At 43.0% G+C, this 23,231-nt stretch overlaps 1 protein-coding gene across 2 annotated transcripts in view, besides 3 other annotated features; it reads right to left on the bottom strand.

Annotated features, from left to right (window-relative positions):
* Positions 1–23,231, bottom strand: part of MACF1 (microtubule actin crosslinking factor 1) — a 402,972-nt gene that overhangs the window by 278,010 nt on the left and 101,731 nt on the right. Inside the window, exon 1 of one of the 2 annotated variants that reach the window (NM_001394062.1) lies at positions 3,998–4,434. The exons of the other annotated variant lie outside the window; for it this stretch is intronic. Coding sequence (NP_001380991.1) covers positions 3,998–4,106 — 109 coding nt within the window. The 5' untranslated portion in view covers positions 4,107–4,434. Of the gene's footprint in view, positions 1–3,997; positions 4,435–23,231 lie in introns of those variants that run through there. 2 annotated transcript variants of the gene reach the window in all.
* Positions 4,069–4,248: an enhancer, noted in NCBI's record as "active region_806". NCBI's record gives its function as "activates an Ori minimal core promoter by ATAC-STARR-seq in GM12878 lymphoblastoid cells {active_cell/tissue: GM12878}" and the evidence as "EXISTENCE:reporter gene assay evidence [ECO:0000049][PMID:35858748]".
* Positions 11,958–12,252: a silencer, noted in NCBI's record as "tiled region #6545; HepG2 Repressive non-DNase unmatched - State 23:Low". NCBI's record gives its function as "represses a minimal TATA promoter and a strong SV40 promoter by Sharpr-MPRA in HepG2 cells {active_cell/tissue: HepG2}" and the evidence as "EXISTENCE:reporter gene assay evidence [ECO:0000049][PMID:27701403]".
* Positions 17,079–17,621: an enhancer, noted in NCBI's record as "OCT4-NANOG-H3K27ac hESC enhancer chr1:39657180-39657722 (GRCh37/hg19 assembly coordinates)". NCBI's record gives its function as "activates a minimal SCP1, AML or CMV promoter by ChIP-STARR-seq in primed H9 embryonic stem cells {active_cell/tissue: H9 hESC(primed)}" and the evidence as "EXISTENCE:reporter gene assay evidence [ECO:0000049][PMID:30033119]".

Below are 23,231 nucleotides of genomic sequence, written 5' to 3'. Positions count from 1 at the left end.
AGGTATGTGCCACTACATCCTGCTAATTTTGTATTTTTTAGTAGAGACAGGGTTTCTCCATGTTGGTCAGGCTGGTCTCGAACTCCTGACCTCAGGTGATCCACCCGCCTCAGCCTCCCAAAGTGCTGGGATTACAGGTGTGAGCCACTGCGCACGGCCATATTTACTGACATCTGTTTTGCCTCAGACACTGCAGATACTGAGATGAGTAATAGTCCCTGTTTTCGCCTGTAATCCCAGCACTTTGGAAGGTAGAAGTGGGCAGATTACAAGGTCAAGAGTTCGAGACCAGCCTGACCAACATGATGAAACCCCGTCTCTACTAAAAATACAAAAATTAGCAGGGTGTGGTGGCGTGCGCCTGTAATCCCAGCTACTCAGGAGGCTGAGGCAGGAGAATCGCTTGAACCCGGGAGGCGGGGGTTGCAGTGAGCTGAGATTGCACCACTGCACGCCAGCCTGGGCGACAGGGCAAGACTCTGTCTCAAAAAAATAAATAAATAAAAAATTAGTCAGGCGTGGTGGCAGGCGCCTGTAGTCTCAGCTACTCGGGAGGTTGAGTCATGAGAATCGCTTGAACCCGGATGGCAGAATTTGCAGTGAACCAACATCGTACCACTGTACTCCAGCCTGGGTGACAAAGTGAGACTCGGTTTCAGAAAGAAAAAAAAAAGAGTCCCTGTTTTTAATTAGTAAGGAGAGAAGGGCAAGTTAAGTAAGATGACAATACAGGTTTGAATAAGTAGTGTTAACAGGGTGCTACTGCAGCACAGAATAGGAACTCGTATTTCAGTCAAGGAAGGCTTTCCAGAGGCAGTTAACTACTTACCCTAAAGGACAAGCATCCATTAGTAGAGCTGTGAGTTTTTAAAAGATGCTGGAGTCCTGGATGCTTATAAGGCCAAGATAGGAAATAAAACCAGTGAAACAGGAACGGAGTAGATTTAATTAAAAAAAAAAAACCCTTTTATATTTCTTTTCTTTTTTTTTTTTTTTGAGACGGACTCTCATTCTGCTGCCCAGGCTGGAATACAGTGGTGTGATCGCAGCTCACTGCAACCTCCACCTCCTGAGTTCAAGCTGTTCTCCTGCCTCAGCCTCCCGAGTAGCTGGGATTACAGGCACCTGCCATCACACCAGCTAATTTTTGTATTTTTAGTAGAGATGGGGTTTCACCATGTTGACCAGGCTGGTCTCGAATTCCTGACCTCAGGTGATCCACCTGCCTCAGCCTCCCAAAGTGCTGGAATTACAGGTGTGAGCCACCACGCCCAGCCAGCATCTGGTTTATTTCTATGTTGTGTTTTATTGCAGAGAATCAATTTTTAGATGATATTGGGCATGTTTGGGGTGGTATGGCCGTAGACAAGAATCAATTTTTAAGAACTGATTCACACAAATAAATAGAAACAAATAATAACAGCTTCACTGTTTGCCTAATAATCTCAGGACATTATTCAAATAAATTGAGACGAGAGCCTGAAAGAATAGCACAAATATTTGTTTCAAAGCCAGTTACCTTCAGTGTTTAAAACTATGAACATTCTTCAGCCAGGCACGGTGGCTCACACCTATAATCCCAGCACTTTGGGAGGCCGAGGCAGGTGGATCACCTGAGGTCAGGAGTTCGAGACCAGCCTGACCAACATGGAGAAACCCCGTCTCTACTAAAAATACAAAATCAGCCGGCTGTGGTGGCACATGCCTGTATTACCAGCTACTCAGGAGACTGAGGCAGGAGAATCACTTGAACCCGGGAGGCGGAGCTTGCGGTGAGCCAGGATTGTGCTCCATTGTACTCCAGCCTGGATAACAAGAGCAAAACTCCGTCTCCAAAAAAAAAAAAGAAAGAAAGAAAGAAAGAAAGAAAAAAACAACTATGAACATTCCTCATAATATGTAAACACAAATAGAAAAGTGAGACAAAAGAACAGAAACTTCTGGTACACATACTAAACCAGTAATACAGTATTACTACATAGAGATGAATTAATTACCCACTTCACTATTATAATAGTTCAGTTAACACCTGAGCTCATACAACTGAGCTCTGCCTGAATCATTATTATTACTATTATTAGGCACAAGACCTATGTGCTATAGTTTGTTCTGCAATACTGTATGTAACTCCAATTAAAAAAAAAAAAAAGACTACATCAGAAGAAGCGATCTTTGTGTTTTTAATCAAGTGTACATTTATTAATAGTACAAATATATACACAGAGATGGTGGAAAAACTTTATTCTGTGATGTCCAACTGGCAGGTAATTAGAGTGTACATATTATTTTTAAAAATACATTTTTAAATAAATGAAATGCATCTTAAAATTGCAATTATAATAAAATGGGTACAGAATCTCGTAAGTAACTCCATGGAAGATTTGGAATCCATAGCCTCCAATTGAAAAATGACATCTCTCATTTTACAGATAAAGCAAACGTAGCACATTCCCGATATAACTATTTGGTATTAGAATCAAAGTTGTTTCATAGAAATAAAAAGCTTTTACAATGTATCTTTTTATTTCAATTACTTTATGGCTGTTTATGAAATTAACATTTCTAAACATAAAAAAGAAAGCACTTAAAATACAGTGATAGCTCTTAAGTTCCATTAAAGTCCTATACTGAAGATAAACTTTAAAAATATTAACAACTAATTAGTTATTTAATGTTTAAAAATGACATTACCATAATGCACAAGGAAAGAAAAGCAGCAGCCTCTACCTAAATGATATTGTATTTATTTTCTCATTACATGTGAAATAGTAAATAGGACCAAACAACTTAAGCCTGCCTATCTCTTTCTTTCTAAGTTCAAATACAGGAAAGCCACTTTGAGGTGGCTTTTTTAAAAACACCACCACACAATCAAACACACTTCTAAAATGTCTGTCTTTGTTTCCGCTGCTATAGATGCACACTAGGATCTGAATATTTAGTCAAAAGCTTTTCTGGGACGTACTGGAAAGGACACTGGGGAATGATTGAATCTAATTCTAATTCTGTCAGGCGTTTGTGAACTTTTAATAGAAAGCTAAATAATAAGCCATCAAATCCCCACCTTAACTTGTAAGATACACTATAAAAAGTGTCTACATACCTAAGTTTGAAGGTAGTGAGCCCATCACAATGAGAGTACTGAAGGCAATGAGACCCAAGGGTATACACTCCAGTAAAAGTTAGACCATATGAATCCTCAACCATGGAGACTCAGAATCAGCCAAACTCAGGGCTGATCCCTGCTCTGAGTGTTTAGAAGTCAACAGAATATAACTAATAGCAATATGGGAAGAATGAGGGTTCTGGTGCCATTACAAAAAAAAATTTTTTTTTTAATTATCAAAGCCTGATTCCCTAGGGAAGAGAGGGATTAACTTCCTTGCATTGAACAAGATGATTTGGATACACATAGCCAAACTGTGTAGGAACAGTATCAATGATATCAAAGAGAACACAGACACCCAGTGTTCCAGGATGCCCCTCGGCAAGGACATCGCACGACCCCTTCCACTGACTGACCCTTCCTCCTCTGCCTTTTCTCACCCCAAAACACACCAAGTTAACAGAAACTTCTCCAACCCAAATCTATACCTGGAGGAGGGTAAAAGAGTTACTGTATGTTTTCAGTTAAAAACAAGGTTCCAAGAAACCACTCTGAGATTGAGAAAGAAAGAGCTCAGTTCTCTGAGGAAAGACTAAGTCAGCACAGCAGCCACTTCCCTTCAGTTTTGAGCCCAGTCATCACCTCATCTAACCAGCACTCTCCAGACAGACTCACAGAACAGAAAAGAGCACCACCCCCATCCCAAAGTGGCCCCAGGGCAGACCAGCTTCTTCATTATACTCACACACACACACTCTTAAGTCTGACAGCACCCCAGCTGAAGGACGTACTGGCCCTTTAAGGAAAGCAACTGGGAAGACCTCCATCATTCACCCCACCCTCAAAAGCCCCACAGTAGATTTAAAGAATAACTGGGTACCAGTTAGTTACCTGCTCTACCTCTGGCATGCCTCTTCCAGTATAGAACACCAGCAACTCCAAGAACGTGAGTCAAAATAAAGATGGTTGGTGGTAAATAAGATGAATCTAAGAGGGGCATTTCCAGGCCCGTCCTTTCTCCTCCCTTGAGTTAGCCACAAGCTCAGCGCAGGCCTCTGGATGCCTTTCTCCTGAGGTTACTGTTGTCCTGTACTATCAGCAGAGGCAGAGGCCGGAGCTTAGTGTTGTCAGAAACTTCCTGGCAGCTTCTCCTCCATCTCACTTCTGACTGTTTTTCAGCAGGCGCTAGTAGACTGGGACTAAAACTGTACAGTGTATCTCAGACAAAGCCCAGGAAACAACTGGCCAGCGGGGGAGGGGAAAGGGAAGAAGGAACAAGGAGAGTGAAAAGGAGCGCCTAAGCCAGTGTCAAGCTGACTCAAACCTCTATCTTTGGCATCCTCTGCTCAGCTTAAATAAACAAACCTCAGACCCTTCTACAAGAAGGGAGGGTGTCAGAGGACGTCACACTCTTAACTTTCCATTCCCAGCCTGCCTGCAAGGCCAGACTTCAGGATGTAGCCAGAAGAAAAAAGTCACAGAAGCATTAGGGAACCTCTTGCGGGGAGAAAGCAAAGTACATGAGGATGTATGAGCACCACAAGTACCCTGGAGTTGTCAGAGGGCAAACCCTCCATACCCACAACCCGGGAGGAGAAGCAAGGAGCCTGAACATCAGTCCAGGGAGGATACATACAGAGCAAGCTCCCATGAAGCAGACCTGACATCTAGGTGTGATGAAGATCAGCGAGGAGAGCAAACTGCTCATTTAGGGGGTACTTCTCAAGGGTTAAAAAAATCCGTCTGGCTGGGCGCAGTGGTTCATGGCTGTAATCCCAGCACTTTGGAAGGCACGATATCAGTTCACTGCAACCTCCGCCTCTAGGGTTGAAGCAATTCTCCTGCCTCAGCCTCCTGAGTAGCTGGGATTACAGGTGGATGCCACCGCACCCAGCTAATTTTTATATTTTTAGTAGAGATGGGGTTTCACCATGTTGGCCAAGCTGGTCTCGAACTCCTGACCTCAAGCAATCCTCCCGCCTCTGCCTCCAAAGGTGCTGGGATTACAGGCATGTGCCACTGTGCCCGGCCTTAGACCAGAGGACCCAGCAATCTCACTCCTAGGTATCTATCCAAGAAAAAGAGAAACGTATATCCACACAAAGACCTGTATATGAATGTTTGCAGCAGCATTATTCATAATATAAAAAACTGGAAACAACCCAAATGTCCATCAACTGGTAAATGTATAAACAAATTGTGCATCCATATAATGGACTACCTATTCTGCAATAAAATAGAATAAAACTACTGATACATACGACGACACAGATGATTCTCAAAACTATTATGCTACATAAAAAAAGCCAAACACAAAAGGCTACATACCATATGATTCCATTTATATAACTTTCTAGAAAAGCAAAACTATACAACTAGAAATGGAAGAGGCTGAGAATGAGGGAAGGAAATTGACTAAAAGGATCACAAAATAACTGTAAGAGGATGGAAATGTTCCTTTTGTTGATTGTGGTGGTGGTTCCATGACTGTATACATTTGTCCAAACTCACTAAATCAGGCCAGATGCAGTGGCTCATGCTTGTAATCCCTGCACTTCAGGAGGCTGAGGCAGGAGGATCACTTGAGCCCAGGAGTTCAGGACCAGACTGAGTAACACAGTGGGACCCCATTTCTACAAAAAAATTTTAAAATTTAGCCAGATGAGATGGTATGTGTGTATAGTCCCAGCTACTGGGGAGGCTGAGGTGGGAAGATGGCTTGAGCCCAGGAATCAAGGCTGCAGCAAGCCATGATCATGCCACTGCACTACAGCCTTTTTATTTGAGACAAAGTGAGACCCTGTTTACTTACTTCTAAAGTACCTATTACACTATGATATAGATGAAGATGCTATAGTCTCACAAGCTTTAAAAAATGAAAATTGCTTTATATATCTGTCAAGTTTATTTTTTTCTAATAATAGGGAAGGGTTTTACTTTTTTTTCTATGTGAAATCTTTATTTATTTATTTATTTTCCTTTTGCTTTTTTCTAGAGCTTGTTGAAGCAAAAGGAAAGAGTTTTAGATGTGCATAACCTACTACCCAGAAAAATAATAAAGGGGCCTTGACGGGACCACTAATACAATGGGAACTTTTAAATCTGGCAATAGGATCATCTACAATTTTGTGCTAACCTACATTTCATTCATCAAATATTTACTTCATATTATGTGCCAGGTCATGTTCCAGGTACCAGAAACAATAGCAGTAAACAAAACAAAGACCTTGCTCTCACAGAACTTACATACTAGTAGGAGAAGAAAGAAAAGAAATATAAACAGGTAAATACATAGCTTGTCACATAAATGCTATGGAGAATACTAAAGGAGACGAAGAGGAGATGGAGTGTCAATGTCAATGGGGGATAGTTTACTTTTTTTTTTTTTGAGACAGAGTCTTGCTCTGTTGCCCAGGCTGGAGTGCAGTGGCATGATCTTGGCTCACTGCAACCTGTGCCTCCCGGCTTCAAGCGATTCTCCTGCCTCAGCCTCCTGAGCAGCTGGGACTACAGGCACGTGCCACTACACCTAGCTAATTTTTCTATTTTTAGTAGAGATGGGGTTTCACCGCATTGGCCAGGCTGGTCTCGAACTCCTGACCTCGTGATCCAACTGCCTTGGCCTCCCAAAGTGCTGGGATTACAGGTGTGAGCCACTGCGCCCGGCCAGCACCTAGCCAAGTTTACGGTTTTATATATAGGATGGTCAGAGAAGGCTCGTCTAATAAGGTGACATCTGAGCAGATAAAGAATATGAGGCCGGGCGTGGTGGCTCACGCCTGTAATCCCAGCACTTTGGGAGGCGGAGGCGGGTGGATCATGAGGTCAGGAGACTGAGACCATCATGGCTAACACCGTGAAACCCCATCTCTACTAAAATTACAAAAACTTAGCTGGGCGTGGTGATGGTCGCCTGTAATCCCAGCTACTTGGGAGGCTGAGGCAGGAGAATGGTTTGAACCCGGGAGGCAGAGCTTGCAGTGAGCCGAGATTGCGCCACTGCACTCCAGCCTGGGAGACAGAGTGAGAGTGCATCTCAAAAAAAAAAAAAAAAAAAAAAAAAAAAAGAATATGAGCAAACAAGTCATGTGGCTATCTGGAGAATGGATAAGCCAAAGAACAAGTGCAAAGTCCCTGAGGCAGAATTACGTTTCTTATGTTCAGGGAACACCAAAGAACCTAGAATGGCTGGACCTGAAAGAGGAAAGGAAAGAGTATCAGAAGAGGAGGCCAGAGACGAGGTCAGATCACCTATGGCTGTACAGATCATTGTAAAGCCTTTGGCTTTTATTCTAGGTGAAACGGGAAGCCATTGGAGGGCTTTGTGTGAGACAGTAACACGATTTAACTTAGGTTTTAAAAGGATTGCTCAGCCTGGCGCGGTGAATCACGCCTGTAATCCCAGCACTTTGGGAGGCCGAGGCAGGTGGATCATGAGGTCAAGAGATCGAGACCATCCTGACTAACACAGTGAAACCCCGTCTCTACTAAAAATACTAAAAATAAGCCGGGCGTGGTGGCACGCGCCTGTAGTCCCAGCTACTCAGGAGGCTGAGGCAGAAGAATCGCTTGAATCCAGGAGGCGGAGGTTGCAGTGAGCCAAAATCGCGCCACTCCAGCCTGGGTGACAGAACGAAACTCTATCTCAAAAAAAAAAGGATCATTCTTGTTCCTATGTTGAGATCATACTACTGAGAGATAAGAGTGGGTACAGGGAAACCAGCTATAATGCCAGTATAATAATTCAAGTGAAAATTGGTGGCTACAAAATGATGGGTAGAGCCAGAGTGTGGCCACAGAGGTGGTAAGATGTGTTCAAATTCTGTAATTACAAAGAAGGAATCATCTGGATTTGCTTATAGATTGGTTGTGGAATGAGCAGGGAAAGAATAAAAAATAACTCCAAAATGTTGGCCTGAGAAATTGAAAGGATAGAACTGCTATTTCCTGAGATGGGGAAGACTGATACCAGAGATGCAGAGGGTTTGGGATTCATTGGTGGCTGTGGCTGTCTGTTTTTTGGGGGGGCAGGGTAGAAATGTCCTTTTGAATAACATTAGGTTTGAAATGCCTAAAGACATTCAAGTGAAACTTCCTTGTTGTTTCTTTTGGTAGAAACCGGGTTTCGCCATGTTGCCCAGGCTGGTCTCAAACTCCTGGCCTCATGTGATCCTCCTTCCTTGGCCTCCTAAAGTGCTGGGATTACAGGCTTGAGCCACCATGCCCACCCCTCAAGTGGAACTTTGAATAGACAATTGAATATATGAATCTAGAGTTCAGGGAGAGACCTGGCCTGGAATTTTTTTCTTTTTTTTTTTTTCTCTGAGATGGAGTCTAGCTCTGTCACCCAAGCTGCAGTGCAGTGGCACTATCTTGGCTCACTGCAACCTCCACCTACCGGGTTCAAGTGATTCTCCTGCCTCAGCCTCCCAAGAAGCTGGGATTACAGGTGCCCACCACCACGCCCGGCTAATTTTTGTATTTTTAGTAGAGACACGGTTTTGCCATGTTGGGCAGGCTGGTCTCGAACTCCTGATCTCAGGTGATCCACCTGCCTCGGCCTCCCAAAGTGCTGGGATTACAGGTGTGAGCCACTGTGCCTGGCCCAGGCTGGAATTTTAAAGCCAGGAGACTAGATGGCATTATTTAGTGAGTAAACATAGAGAAGAGATCAAGTTCAAGGACTAAGTCCTGGAAGCCTTTCAACATTATCTAGGGAAGAGCAAGAACAACCAAAAGGGGCTAAAAAAGAGGATTCAGTGGATTAGAGGGAGACCCAAAAGAGTAAGCTATCCCAGAAGCCAGGTGAAAGCGTTCTAAAAAGTAGCAATTAACCATGCAAGAGCTATTAATATGTCAAGTTGAGGATTGAGAACTGACCATTGAATTTAGCATTCTGGAGGTCACTGGTGACTCTAACAAGTGCAGTTTTGATGGCATGGTAGAGAAAAAGCCTGACTGGAGCGATTCAAGAACTAATGAATGGGAGAAGAATAATCAAGGACAGGGAAAAACAACTCCTTCAAGGAACTTTGCTGTAAACAGGAGCAGAGAGAGCAATGTAGGGTCAATAGAGAATTCTTGATATGTGAAATGTAATAGTGTTTGCTGAAGGGAATAAGAATTAGAAAGGAAAAATTGATGACATAGTCCAGTGGAGACTAAGCTGGAGCTCCCTCTCTTCTGAAACAAAGCACTTCATTCATTTCATTAAAAGATGCAGAGCATTGTGCCAGATACCATGGACACCAAGATGACTATGACACACCCCTTGCTGTGGAGAAGTGAAGAAGCTCCTGGGCTGTGATGGTCGAAGAAGATGGACTTGCTTGGAAGGGAAACTAAAATTTATTAAGCAGCTACTATAAAGCATCTTTACATCTGTTATTTCATTTGATCCCTGTAATATCCCTGGGAACTATATATTATTACCCCATTTTATAAATCAAGCACTTGAGGCTCCAGAAATTCAAGTTATTTTGCCAAGGTCATCCAAGAAAGAGGATGAGCTGACACCTGAGCTTTTTCTGTCTTTTTTTCTGTAGAGACAGGATCTTACTATGTTACAGCCCAGGTTGGTCTCAAACTCATGGAATCAAGCAATCCTCCTGCCTAGGCCTCCCAAAATGTTGGGATTACAGGCGTGAGCCACTGTGTCTGGCCCATGTCTGAACTTTTATTATGCCTGATTCCAAATAAATATATTTTATCCCTTTGTTAAAAAATTCTGTCACAACAGGCCAGGCACAGTGGCTCACGCCTGTAATCCCAGCACTTTGGGAGGCCGAGGCGGGCGGATCATGAGGTCAGGAGATCGAGACCATCCTGGCTAACACGGTGAAACCCCATCTCTACTAAAAATACAAAAAATTAGCCAGCCGTGGTGGTGGGCGCCTGTAGTCCCAGCTACTTGGGAGGCTGAGGCAGGAGAATGGTGTGAACCTGGTAGGCAGAGCTTGCAGTGAGCCGAGATCGCGCCACTGCACTCCAGCCTGGGCGACAGAGCGAGACTCCATCTCAAAAAAGAAAAAAATTCTGTCAAAATAAGTACACTAACTTTAGGGTAAGCAACTTGAGGTGTTTATACTTCCTCGTTACAAGACTTATTTATATAATAGTTCCACCTGGCTTTAAGAAAAGAATCTCAACAACAGTATATATTAATTGCTAGTGCTGTTTCTTCCCTTTTATTTCTTTCTTGAGACAGAGTCTTGCTCTGTTGCCTAGGCTGGAGAGTGCAGTGATGCTCCGATCTCTGCAACCTCTATCTCCTGGGTTCAAGCAATTCTCCTGCCTCAGCCTCCCCAGTAGCTGTGACTACAGGTGTGTGCCACCACGCCCAGCTAATTTTTTTTTTTTTTTTTTTGAGACGGAGTTTCGCTCTTGCTCTGTTGCCTAGGCTGGAGTGCAATGGCGTGATCTCAGCTCACTGCAACCTCCGTCTCCCGGCTCCAAGCAATTCTCCTGCCTCAGCCTCCTGAGTAGCTGGGATTACAGGCACACACCACCACACCCGGCTAATTTTTGTATTTTTAGTAGAGACGGGGTTTCATCACATTGGTTAGGCTGGTCTCGAACTCCTGACCTCATGATCCACCCGCCTCAGCCTCCCAAAGTGCTGGGATTACAGGAGTGAGCCACCGCGCCCGGCACGCCCAGCTAATTTTTGTATTTTTAGTAGAGTCAGAGTTTCACCATGTTGGCCAGGCTGGTCTCCAACTCCTGACCTCAGGTGATCCATCCGCCTGGGCCTCCCAAACTGCTGGGATTATAGGCATGAGCCACCGCGCCCAGCCTGCTAGTGCTGTTTCTATCACCATTTCTTGAGACAGGGTCTTACTCTGTAGTCCAAGCTGGAATGCAGTGGCACAATCATAGCTCGCTGCAGCCTCAAACTACCGGGCTCAAGTAATCCTCCCACCTCTGCCTCCCGAGTAGCTGGGACTACAGGCATGTGCCACCACGTCTGGCTAATTTTTGTGTTTTTTGCAGAGATGGGGTTTTGCCATGTTTCCCAGGCTGGTCTCGAACTCCTGGGCTCAAGTGATCTGCCTGCCTCAGCCTACCAAAGTGCAGGGATTATAGACATGAGCCACTCCACTTGGCATCTGTCCACCATTTCTCAACCATCTTTTTCGAAACATGGTCTCGCTCTGTCGCCCAGGCCAGAATGCAGTGGTGTGATCATAGCTCACTACAGCCTTGAACTCCTAGGCTCAAGCAATCCTCCTGGTTTAGCCTCCTGAGGAGCTGGGACTATAAACATGCATCACCATGCTGGCTATAATTTTTTAATTTTTTTTGAAGATGGGGTCTCACTATGTAGTCCAGGCTGGTCTCAAACTCCTGGCCTTAAGAGTGACCCTCCCGCCTCTGCCTCCCAAAGTGCTGGGATTACAGGCATGAGCCACCACAACCGTCTTTTCACAGTCTTACAAATACCTTCACCATATTTTCGTTTCCCAAAGTGAAAGCCATTTCCCTGCCCTATTTGCTACCTGAAGCCATCATAAAGCTGTTATAGGAGCTTCTGGCATCAGTAATTAGAAAATCATATACCATGTTTGTGTCATTCAAAAACACCTAGGAAATTTGGGGGAAAAAATCCAAAGTACTCAAATACCAAGATATGTTCTGAACCTACATTTATTATTAGAGAAGACAATGAAAGATAACCAAAGTAATTTATTCTCATAAGATCATAAAAACATGTCATTTTATACCTTGATATTACAGGTAAAAAGCCTGCCTATCTGCAGCTTGTGTGTGTGTGTGTGTATATATTTATATTTATATTTATTATATATATGTATGTTGGAAGGAAGAAGCAGAGGGGAACTGCTTTCATGAAAATAAAATAATTTTTTCACTTGGTGAAACTAAGATCTGTGTGCTGTCATTTACAGGAAGTGGTTAGAGGCTGGCAGGAGGGAGTGACTAGTTTTCTTTTTAAGAGATCATTTATCATACAAAGAACAGTCTTTTTAAAGTCACATTTAGCACCCCCCAGGATATCCCTTACTAACAGCCAACGGGCAGGGCCCCAAACCATGAAAGAAGCCTTGTAGAAGACAGACTCAGAACTTCATTAAGATTTTAGATCTGCCTCTCTTTGGGATTACCCACAGGAATTTGGGATGGTCTCCCCTAACTGTTACCCACAAGAAATCTCAACACAAGGCAACACCCCAGAATTACTTTAATGTTTGCAAGCAAAACAAGCCTGTGCAAAGGTATGCTGGACATTTTATTCAAATGTCATTGAGATTTACTTGGTCTCAAAATAATTGATATCCACAAGCATCATAACTTTAGCAGATTCAGACTAAAAATTTACGTTACACCGTAACTAAAAAAGCCAAATCTAGAAAAATAATGCTTACAAAGAGAGAAGTCTTTTAAAAAATACAATAAATATACCTAAGATTATAAATTTGGTAGAGGGAATAGCACATAACCGATAGGACTGAAAACCTTGGGTTTCTGGAAATGGCACGATGCAGACATCAAAGCCTGGCCCTGAAACTCTTGTCATCTGTCCCCTCCCATGAGTACACTAGGCATCTAACTGAAGACAGGCAGAGGATGTGGGCTTCAGATAACTTAATTAGGAGACATCCATGACTCTGCCTCTAAGGTTTGGCAATGTGGTATTGAGACAACTTGCAAAGGCCCAGAATGTCTACAAAGAACATTCTACATACAAAAGTGTCATTGAATACAATAAAGTAAGGAAAATCTCCATATTTATTGCTCCGTATACATAGATGCCATGAGTATTATAGTAGCATGGAAATTATAAGCCCAGTCTGCCTGGGTTTAAATCCATACTACTATGTATACATCACATTTAGCATCTTTGGGCAAGTTACTTAACTTCATGGAACCTCAATTTCCTCATCTGTAAAATGATGATAATAATAGCATCTGTCTCAGAGTTGTAGTAAGGATGAATGAGTTAATGTGTTTCAGGTGCTCAATACCTGCTCAATAATTGCTGATTATAATTGTCATTATTTGGAGGAGCAGCAAACAAACTACATCTGACCACAAAGACTATGAATATTGCTCAGACTGTACGAAACCTTGGCAACTGATAACTTACCTCACCTAAATTACCTAATCTGTCTAATCTCAGTCTCCAACTTACCAACCCTGCCCTCGTTCACCACAACAGTAATCTCCTTGAAGCATGTATAATGATTGGCACATTTTAAATGCTTAATAAATGTTTATTTATAACTTCACTGTAAAACTTTACATTTCTCCCTATCAGCAAATTAAATCCAAAACTCTCTGGCTTCACAATATTTCCCTCATTATCCTGGCACGTTTTTCCTTCCCATCTCCAGATATTAAACTCCTATTTCTATAGACCAGCTTAAAGCCAGTACTTCCACAGAATTATCTCCAGTTCCTCCCTCCATCCCAGTGAGAAGTAAACTTCTCCCTCCCTTGAGCTTTTATTATACTTTATCTGTTTCTCTCATAAAGTTTAGCACTTTGTGCTTTATAATACAGCTGAGCACATATTGTTACTCCCTCACTAGACTGTTTTTGAAGCTAGATAAATGTCTGCTCTCCTTTATAAAATCTTAGTCACTAAATAACTATTTGTGGAATGAGCAAATTAATAAATGAATGAGAGGATCTGAGAACTGCTTAAGAGCAAGAATGGGGGCGGGTGCACACTAGAAAGGGCAAAGCTGGGCCCAGTGAATTATGAATACTCCCAAAATATAAACATTTCTTCTGGTAATGCATCTTTTTTGACCACAAAAACATACAACCGAGAACAAGTGCCTGGAAAACCATTCATCTTATGGCAGAAATAACTCAAAATGCTCTTCTAGAGAGGCCTAGTAGGTAACATACACTAACAAGGGTGTCGAACCATCTTTAACAGTGAACTTCCAAATCTACCTGGGAATTTAAAAGAAAAAAGTGTCTCCAAGAACACAAGTGTAAGTTTTGCTTTTCCTTGGAGCTGGAAGGAAGATAGTTTATTAATTCAGAAATTAAACTGCTTGGCTGGGAGCAGTGGCTCACCCCTGTAATCCCAGCGCTTTGAGAAGCTGAGGCAGGAGGACTGCCTGAGGACAGGAGTTTAAGACCACCCTGGGCAACATAGCAAGACCCCATCTCTCCAAAACATAATAACACTTAGCCAGGCCCAGTGGTTACACACCTGTAGTTCTAGCTACTTGGGAGGCTGAGGCAGGAGAATCACTCCAGCCCAGGAGTTTCAGGCCACAGTGAGCTATGATCACACCACTGCACTCCAGCCTAGACAGCAGAGCAAGACAATAGAGAAGGGAAGGGAGGGGAGGGGAGGGGAGGGGAGGGGAGAGGAAGGCAGGGAGAAAGAAATTCCACTTTTGGCTGGGCATGGTGGCTCACGCCTGTAATCCCAGCACATTAAAAGGCTGAGGCGGGGTGGATCACCTAAGGTCAGGAGTTCAAGACCAGCCTGGCCACCCGTCTCTACTAAAATTACAAAAATTAGCCGGGCATGGTGGCATGTGCCTGTAGTCTCAGCTACCTGGGAGGCTGAGTCAGAAGAATCCCTTGAGCCCGGGAGGTGGAGGCTGCAGTGAGCTGAGATCGCGCCACTGCACTCCAGCTTGGGAAACAGAACAAGACTCTATCACAAAAAAAAAAAAAAAAAAAAGAAAAGAAAAGAAAAGAAAAGAAAAGAAAAGAAATTCCACTTCTGGAAATCCCTCCGGATATGGATTCTGCCCAGGATCTAACTCTAGATGGCCTTCCTATCAAGCTCAGCAACTGAAGGTCTTACCCTTAAGAAAGAAAAGGGAAAGTAACACTAAAGAGGAGGGGCAGAAAATAAAGTGAGAGATGCTCTGGTACAGCACTTAGAAAACTCACTCTTGGCCAGGTGTGGTGGCGCATGCCTGTAATCCCAGCACTTTGGGAGGACGAGGTGGTTGGATCACCTGAGGTCAGGAGTTCGAGACCAGCCTGACCAATATGGTGAAACCCCATCTCTATTAAAAATACAAAATTACCCAGGAGTGCCTGTAATCCCAGCTACTTGGGAGGCTGAGGCAAGAGAATTGCCTGAACCCAGGAAGTGGAGGTTGCAGTGAGCTGAGATCATGCCACTGCACCCCAGCCTGGGCAACAACAGCGAAACTGTCTCAAAAAAAGAAAAAAAGAAAAAAGAAAACTCACTCTTAAACCCAAGTGCCTGCCTCTCTCTCTCTCTCTCTCCCTCTCTCTCTTACCAGGGCTGTAAATATAATTTGTGAGCCAAACCTATATTCAAATTCTGATTTCACAATCTCTAGTTGTGTATCTATGAACCAATTACTTAATCTCTTTAATCCATAGTTATCTCATGTCAAAAAGGGATAATAAAATTACCTCTTCACAGTGTTACAGTGAGGATTAAGTGAGAAAATGCATAATATATTTGGCACACAGTAAGCATTAACTATTTAAAAAGCATTAAACATTGACTCATTAATGCCAACTCTTGTTATTATGATTACCACACAAGAGACCTCCTAGCAGGGCATCAAGTCATCCTCAGTGGCAAATGCAAGAAGGTAAGTGAAAGTAATGTGTGGTATTGAACAGCTCAATGACTAAGTCAAATTAGGCTTCGACAGCATTGCTTCAAAAAGGGAAAGGACAAGAATATCTAGTCAACCTCAACAGCCATATTACCATTTTAAGTAATCTCTCTCTCTGGCATTTTGACCCTTTTCCCCAATGAAATAATATCTATCTAGTAAGCTTTTTCCAGGAAACTCTGGTAGCCAACATCTTAAAGAAATGGAGAAAAAAATGATACGAAGAAAAGAAGCCCTGTCTATGGGGACTGTTCCAGAATCTTGCCCAGGATTGTTATTTTTGTCCAGAAATATTCTTTTTTTTTTTAATTTTTGAGATGGAATTTCACTCTTGTTGCCCAGACTGTAGTGCAATGGCACAATCTCGGTTCACTGCAACCTCTGCCTCCCGGGTTTAAGCAATTCTCCTGCCTCAGCCTCCCAAGTAGCTGGGATTACAGGCATGCGCCACCATGCCCGTCTAATTTTTTTGTATTTTTGGTAGAGACGGGGTTTCACCATGTTGGCCAGGCTGGTCTCGAACTCCTGACCTCAGGTGATATCCACCCGCCTCGGGTTACAGGCATGAGCCACTGCGCTTCGCCCATAAAGTTCTTAATACAAGTTCACGCCTTTTGTTTCTGCTCTAATATTTTAAAAAACATAGTACTGAATATACAAAGATGTCACAATAGACAAGGAATCCAGCTCATTTATCACTAGATTAGTGTTTCTCTTATTGAGAGCCTAACCCTCAGTGACCCCTACTGGACAAAGATAGATAGACACAGAAGACTAAGTTTTTAAACAACAAAGAAAACTGTGTTGCTTTTATTCTGATGAAATTCTCACACATGGAACTTTCATTATACAAGTTCAAGCTTGTGTCAAAATCTATATACACCTGTAACATAGAAGGCAACAATGCTATGTCCAGTCAGCTCATTCCTTTTATGGGAAACATTATCACCATAAAGTTGGTTGGCTTCACGGCTGCCTCAACAGGATCGTCAGTATTTATGGTTTTGTGATGAGTCCTTATAGAGAAAATAGCAGACAGAAAAGGAGCAGTCACTGGCACACAACTCCTACCCCTCAGTACCTTGCAATTTTTCCATTCCCCGAGGTGACTCACTCTTAACACAGCCCAGACTACTTGCCAGCAGTCAGGGCCACTATGTGTGCCTGGTGAGTAATGCTTTCCCCAGCGTGCATCCTCCCAGCTGCCTCTGACTGAACAAGTCATAAAAGGAAATCTGGGTAACCATTTTTAAGTTTTTTGTTTTTTTCTTTTTTTGAGACAGAGTCTTGCTGTGTCGCCCAGGCTGGAGTGCAGTGGTGAGATATCGGCTCACTGCAATCTCCACTTCCCAGGTTCAAGCAATTCTTGTGCCTCAGTCTCCTGAGTAGCTGGGATTACAGGCATACACCACCACACCCAGCTAATTTTTGTATGTTTAATAGAAACGGAGTTTCACCATGTTGGCCAGGCTGGTCTCGAACTCCTGGCCTCAAGTGATCCACCTGCTTCGGCCTCCCAAAGTGCTGGGAGCCACCGTGCCTGGCCCAGTTTTAAGAACACATGTCCCATCCTAAACACAAGGATAGCTCCTCTCAGCTCCCTGCAGGGACTCAGAGTTGTAATGAATTCCCTCTAATGGCAGCCAGGTGGCAATGCAGAAACAGGCAAAGGCAGAAAAGCCAATGAGTATGATTAAGCCCTTACTCTCTAAAATCTGGGGACCACAGCTTCTACTTTGGATAAAACAAAAAGTAATGGGCATGAAGCAGAGCCATCTGCTATCACACAGCATCACACCCTGTGGCACAGCCCTGATGAAAAGCCCAATCTCAGAAGAAGGAGGCAGCCTCTTAAGTATCTGTCCATCCATCCTTAGGTGTCCCAAGTAGTGGATGAGGAAAACGACAGCATCTGTTTTTTTGATTAGTGACTGGCACATTAATTGAAAAATGGACAACAGTTGTAGTTAAACTTTCTCCCAATAGATGTTCCTGGAGTATCTAATCCTTCAGACATGAATCTATGGAGTTAGTGCAAACATTTTGGAAACAGCTGCCAAGAGCTAGGTAAGTGAGAGAAGTGGAGGAAGGTCTTTGACACAGACAATTTACTTCAAAGCTATCTTAAGCAATAATAATTCCTGATAAATTGTCAAACAGGAAAACTTTAAGTAGGACCCAACTGGGCCTGTACTTTACTGCTAGGTTAAAAAAAAAAAAAAAAAAAGAAAGAAAGAATCACCCCAAATACATCATATCCAGTGAATTTTTAAAATTTTCTTAAAAATCAGAGCACCTTCAATACAGTTGCCTACATTTTTTCCCTACCTATAATCCTTGGGTCTCTGATGCTCATATATGCCTGGGAAGAAAACTATTATCCAGCTTAGTTTTTGTTGTTGTTGTTTTGGGGTTTTTTTGTTTGTTTGTTTTTGAGACACAGTCTCACTCTGTCACTCAGGCTGGAGTGCAGTGGTGCGATCTCAGCTCACTGCAAACTCCACCTCCCAGGTTCAAGCGATTCTCGTGCCTCAGCCTCCCAAGTAGCTGGGATTACAGGCACACCACCACGCCCGGCTAATTTTTGTATTTTTAGTAGAGACGGGGTTTCGCCATGTTGGCCAACCCAGTCTCAAACTCCTGGCCTCAAGTGATCCACCTGCCTCGGCCTCCCAAAGTGCTGGAATTACAGGCCACCGCACCACCTCCAGCTCAGTTTTTGACAAAATCCAGAATACTCAAGATCCTGATTTTTATCAAAAAGAGAGAGAAAGAGAAAAAGAGAGACAGCACAAGGCGGTGGCTCACGTCTGTAATCGCAGTACTTTGGGAGGCCGAGAGGGCAGATTTCTTGAGCCCAGGAGTTCGAGACCACCCTGGGCAACATGGCAAAACCCTGTTGTTATGAAAAAATACAATAAGTTAGCTGGGTGTGGGGATGCACATCTGTAGTCCCAGCTACTCACGCCACTACACTTCAACCTGGGTGACAAAGCAAGATTCCATCAAAAAAAAAAAAAAAAAACAAAAACAAACACACACACACACACACACACAAAAGAAGAGAAAGAAAGAAAGAAAAGACAAGAAAAGAGAAAGGAAGAGAGAGGAGAGGGGCGGGGAGGGGAGGAAAAAAGAAAGAAAGAAGAGAGAGAGGCAGCGAAGGAGGGAGAAAAGAAAAGAAATTACCTATGGCATACCTAATTACTAAAACCAAAAAGATATTGACAAAAATTTTCAACAAGAATGAAACAAAAAGCACTCTCTGGTTAACCTTTGATAAACCAGAATATCTAAATAAGCACATATCAGATTTTATCAATGCATTTAGACATTACAGAACTAGAGACGATTATAGGTCCAGTTCTGTTCTTGGCTTATTAAATGACTTCAGGATCGTTTAACTACACTGGATCTGTTTACTCATTCATAAAATGAGTTCACATTCTAGATCTCTAAATTCTTTTCCAGCTCTAAAATTCTGTGGTTCTGTGAAATATTTAGTTGCCTAGGTACTATGTTGATTGTTATCAATAACAAAAAAAATTACAAAGCCAGTCTTATGCTACTATCCTTTAAGAGCTTACAATCTAACTGGAGAAATATGTATACAGATAGTCTTAACATAAAGCAGTACAGGCTGTGTCAGGAGGGCAAGACTATAAGAACTCAGTGAATGGAACTTCAGAAATTCAGTCAATGAAATGGTCATTTCCTGTTGGGGAAGTCAAAAAAAAGGCTTCCATAGATAAGAAATATAACCTGGGACTAGAAGAATGTATAGGATTTCAACAGTCTGAAATAAGAAGAGTAAACACTCCAGGAGGAGAGATAGCATGAGGAAGAGAATGAAAAACAGAAAGTACAAGTGACACTAGAATGAACCACAGGGTTTGTGTATTTGGGTTGGGGTTGAGGAGGCTCAGAGAGAGGTAAGTAAATTGGGAAGATTAACTTCTGCCAACTTTGGGGTATCCATCACAAATTTAATAAGCACATTTAGCTCCCTTTCAGAAACCTCAGAAAAGTGACAGTAAGAGAATTAAAATGGCACAAACCCACAGAAAATAAGAATAAGAAATAGCAACAAAAGTTTGATACACTGGAGTGTGGATAAACAAATGGTCGAAAACTTAAATGTCAGCTTTCTTTCTCTCTGCTAAGTGCCTGCAGGAAATGGGCAACAATAAGAAACAAGGTAAATTGTACTGCAGAATCCCAGAAAGGCTCAGAAATTGGAAGCACCAGGAACCTCTGAAGACTTGGTAGGAGAAGGCATGCTGCAGAGTAAGGCTGAAAACAAGATTGGTTGGAAGTCTTCAGGCCCGTGTGAGGTCAGGAGCCAGGTGTCTCAGTGAAAACAGGGATATTAAATGAAATCTGACAATGGGCCGGGCATGATGGCTCACGCCTATAATCCTAACACTTTGGGAGGCCGAAGCAGGTGGATCACCTGAGCTCAAGAGTTCGAGACCAGCCTGGCCAACATGGTGAAACCCCGCCTCTACTAAAAATACAAAATTAGCTGGGTGTGGTGGCACGCACCTGTAATCCTAGTACTTTGGGAGGCAGAAACAGGTGGATCACCTGAGCTCAGGAGTTCGAGACCAGCCTGGCCAACATGGTGAAACCCCGCCTCTACTAAAAATACAAAATTAGCCAGGCATGGTGGCAAACACCTGTAATCCCAGCTACTTGGGAGGCTGTGGCAGGAGAATTGCTTGAACCTGGGAGGCAGAGGTTGCACTCCAGCCTGAGTGACAGGGTGAGACTCCGTCTCAATCAATCAATCAATCAATCAATAAACTTTGACAATGAACGATGAGGCCCTTCCAGACTGGCCAATTGCTCCACTTGGCCCAGAGCTCTAGCTACCAGAATTGGCCCCCAGATGGGAGACTGGCCAGTCTTTCCTGGGGAAACCAACCTCCTCTACCTGGTTATTCATTAGGAGTATACCAGTTAACGAGTCCCACCAATCAGCATTTTAGGGCCCAGCTCTTTCTTTTTTTATTTTTGGAGACAGGGTCTCACTCTGTTGCCCAAGCTGGAGTGTAGTGGCGCAGTCTCAGCTTACTACAGCTTCAACCTCCGGGGCTCAAGCAATCTGCCCACCTCAGCCTCCATGCGCCACCACATCCAGCTCATTTTTGTAATTTTTTGTACAGATGGGGTTGCCCAGGCTAGTCTTGAACTCCTGGGCTCAAGCAATCCACCTGCCTCGGCCTCCCAAAGTGCTGGGATTATAGGTGTGAGCCACTGTGCCTGGCCAGGGCCCAAGTCTTAAATGTGAAGATCACCAAGAAACATCAGACATTTTAAGAGAACTTCTAACATGAAAGACAGAGACCAAAATAAATAGAAGGAGCTCAGAAGAAACAGAGACAATGCTGGATGCAGAGGAAAAAAGAAAAGAAAGGGAAGGGAAGGGGAGGGGAGGGGAGGGGAGAGGAGGGGAGAGGAGGGGAGGGAAGGGAAGGGAAGGGAAGGGAAAGGGGAAAGAAGGAAGGAAGGAAGGAGAGAGGAGAGAGAGAGAGAGAGAGACAGAGAGAGAGAGAGACAGAGAGAGAGAGAGAGAAAGACAGCCTCTAATTAATATCCTTAGAGAGACTTAAAAGGCAGTATTAGCCAGACAATTGCTTGAAGCCAGGAGTTTGAGGCCAGCTTGGGCAACATAGCGAGATCTCATTTCTACAAAAAAATTTTAAATAATTTTTTAAAAAATCTGCTAGAAAGTGATTTGCAACCTAGAACTCTATACTCAAACTCTTAATCAAATGAAAAGTAGAATAAGACATTTTCAGATAAGCAAAGTCTCAAAAACATTTACCTCCCTTGTATCCTTTCTCAGGAAGCTAGGATATACCACAATGAAAAAATGGAGTACATCATGAAATACGACATCAGCTCTGGGAAACATGAAATCCAACAGGGAAGACAGGTGAGGGAATTTCCCCGTATGATAGTGAAGGGAAGTGCCAGGATGACAGCTTTACTAAAGGCTTTAAGAGCAACCCATCCAGAGTGAATAAGAGAAAGCTCCTGGGGGATGTCTCCAAATAGACTATTGAACTAAAAGATTATTTGATATGTTTCAACATACTGAGAGAGAAGTCTTAGAGTCCCATGAGAGAGTCTGAAGGTATGTACATAGATCAGTAAACAAGTGACAAAATATGGCAATTATTAATTCCAGGAAAAATTAAAAGTTGGTCCAAAAAGGAAATGTAATCATAGTATATTACATAGCTCACCTTTAAGCAATATTTATATAATCACAATAATCTGAACACTGAATATAACGGCAATAACGTGTGACTTTGGGAAGAAGGGGGAAGAGAAAGTGTGTACGTTAAGGGGGTAAGAATAAAAAAACTAAACCCTAATTTTCTGTAGTAGAATATCAACAGATAATGTTCAAAACCAAAAAAAAAAAAAAATCAAGAATCACTAGTAAAAGAGAAAGAAATATATTCTGGCTGTTTGTGTGTGCAGAAAAAAAAGAAACAGAAATGTGGCCCAGGTGTGGGGGCCCACACCTGCAATCCCAGCACTCTGGGAGGCCAAGGTAGGAGCATCATTTGAGGCCAGGAGTTTGAGACTAGCCTGGAGAACAAAACAAGACCCCCAACTCTACAAAAAGAAAAAAAAATTAGCCAGGCGCAGTGGTACACACCTATAGTCTAAGCTACTCAGGAAGCTGAGGTGGGAAGATCCCTTGAGCCCAGGAGTTCAAGGGTGCAGTGAGCCATGATCACACCACTGCACTCCAGCCTGGGTGGAAGAGTGAGACCCTGTCTCTTAAAAAAAAATAGTGGAAAATACAGATTATTTTTGTCATATGCCTTATAGTAATATTTTAACCTTTTAAAGTAAGAACATGTATAATTTTGATTTAATGTTATAGAAAGTTGGACTGGATTATGAAAGATCTTAAATGACAAGATGAGTTTGGATTTTATCCTATAGGTGAGCCCCTAAAAAAGTCATTTCTAGGCCGGGCGTGGTGGCGCGTGCCTGTAATCCCAGCTACTCGGGAGGCTGAGGCAGGAGAATCATTTGAACCAGGGAGTTGGTGGTTGCAGTGAGCCGAGCATGCCACGGCACTCCAGCCTGGTGACAGAGTGAGACTCTGTCTCAAATTAAAAAAAAAAAAAAGTCATTTCACCCCCCACCAAAACACACACACACACACACACACACACACACACAGAGAGAGAGAGAGAGAGAGAGAGAGAGAGAGAGAGAGAGAGAGATGTTCAGAATCCCAGCCCCCACATGGATTCCCTTAACATTCTGGAATCTGGTTAATTGGGTTTCAGATATTTCTCCCTTATCCACTCCTCTACCTCATGATTAAAGGCCTTTAGCTCATAACCAAAGGGAGAGAGGACCTGTATATATTATGTGGCAGGTACGAGTCTTGGGCTCAGACTCATCTGACAACGAGTCAGGTGGTGACTTCTGAAACAGCATCACCACAGATTACCCTCAGGGGGCTCCCAAATCAAATACACCCTAGGGAACTT

The sequence above is a fragment of the Homo sapiens genome, chromosome 1 (assembly GCF_000001405.40).
Source record: "Homo sapiens chromosome 1, GRCh38.p14 Primary Assembly".
Classification (NCBI taxonomy): domain Eukaryota; kingdom Metazoa; phylum Chordata; class Mammalia; order Primates; family Hominidae; genus Homo; species Homo sapiens.
The sequence above is the reverse complement of the archived record's forward strand: the minus strand, read 5'-3'. Positions and strand labels throughout refer to the sequence as shown.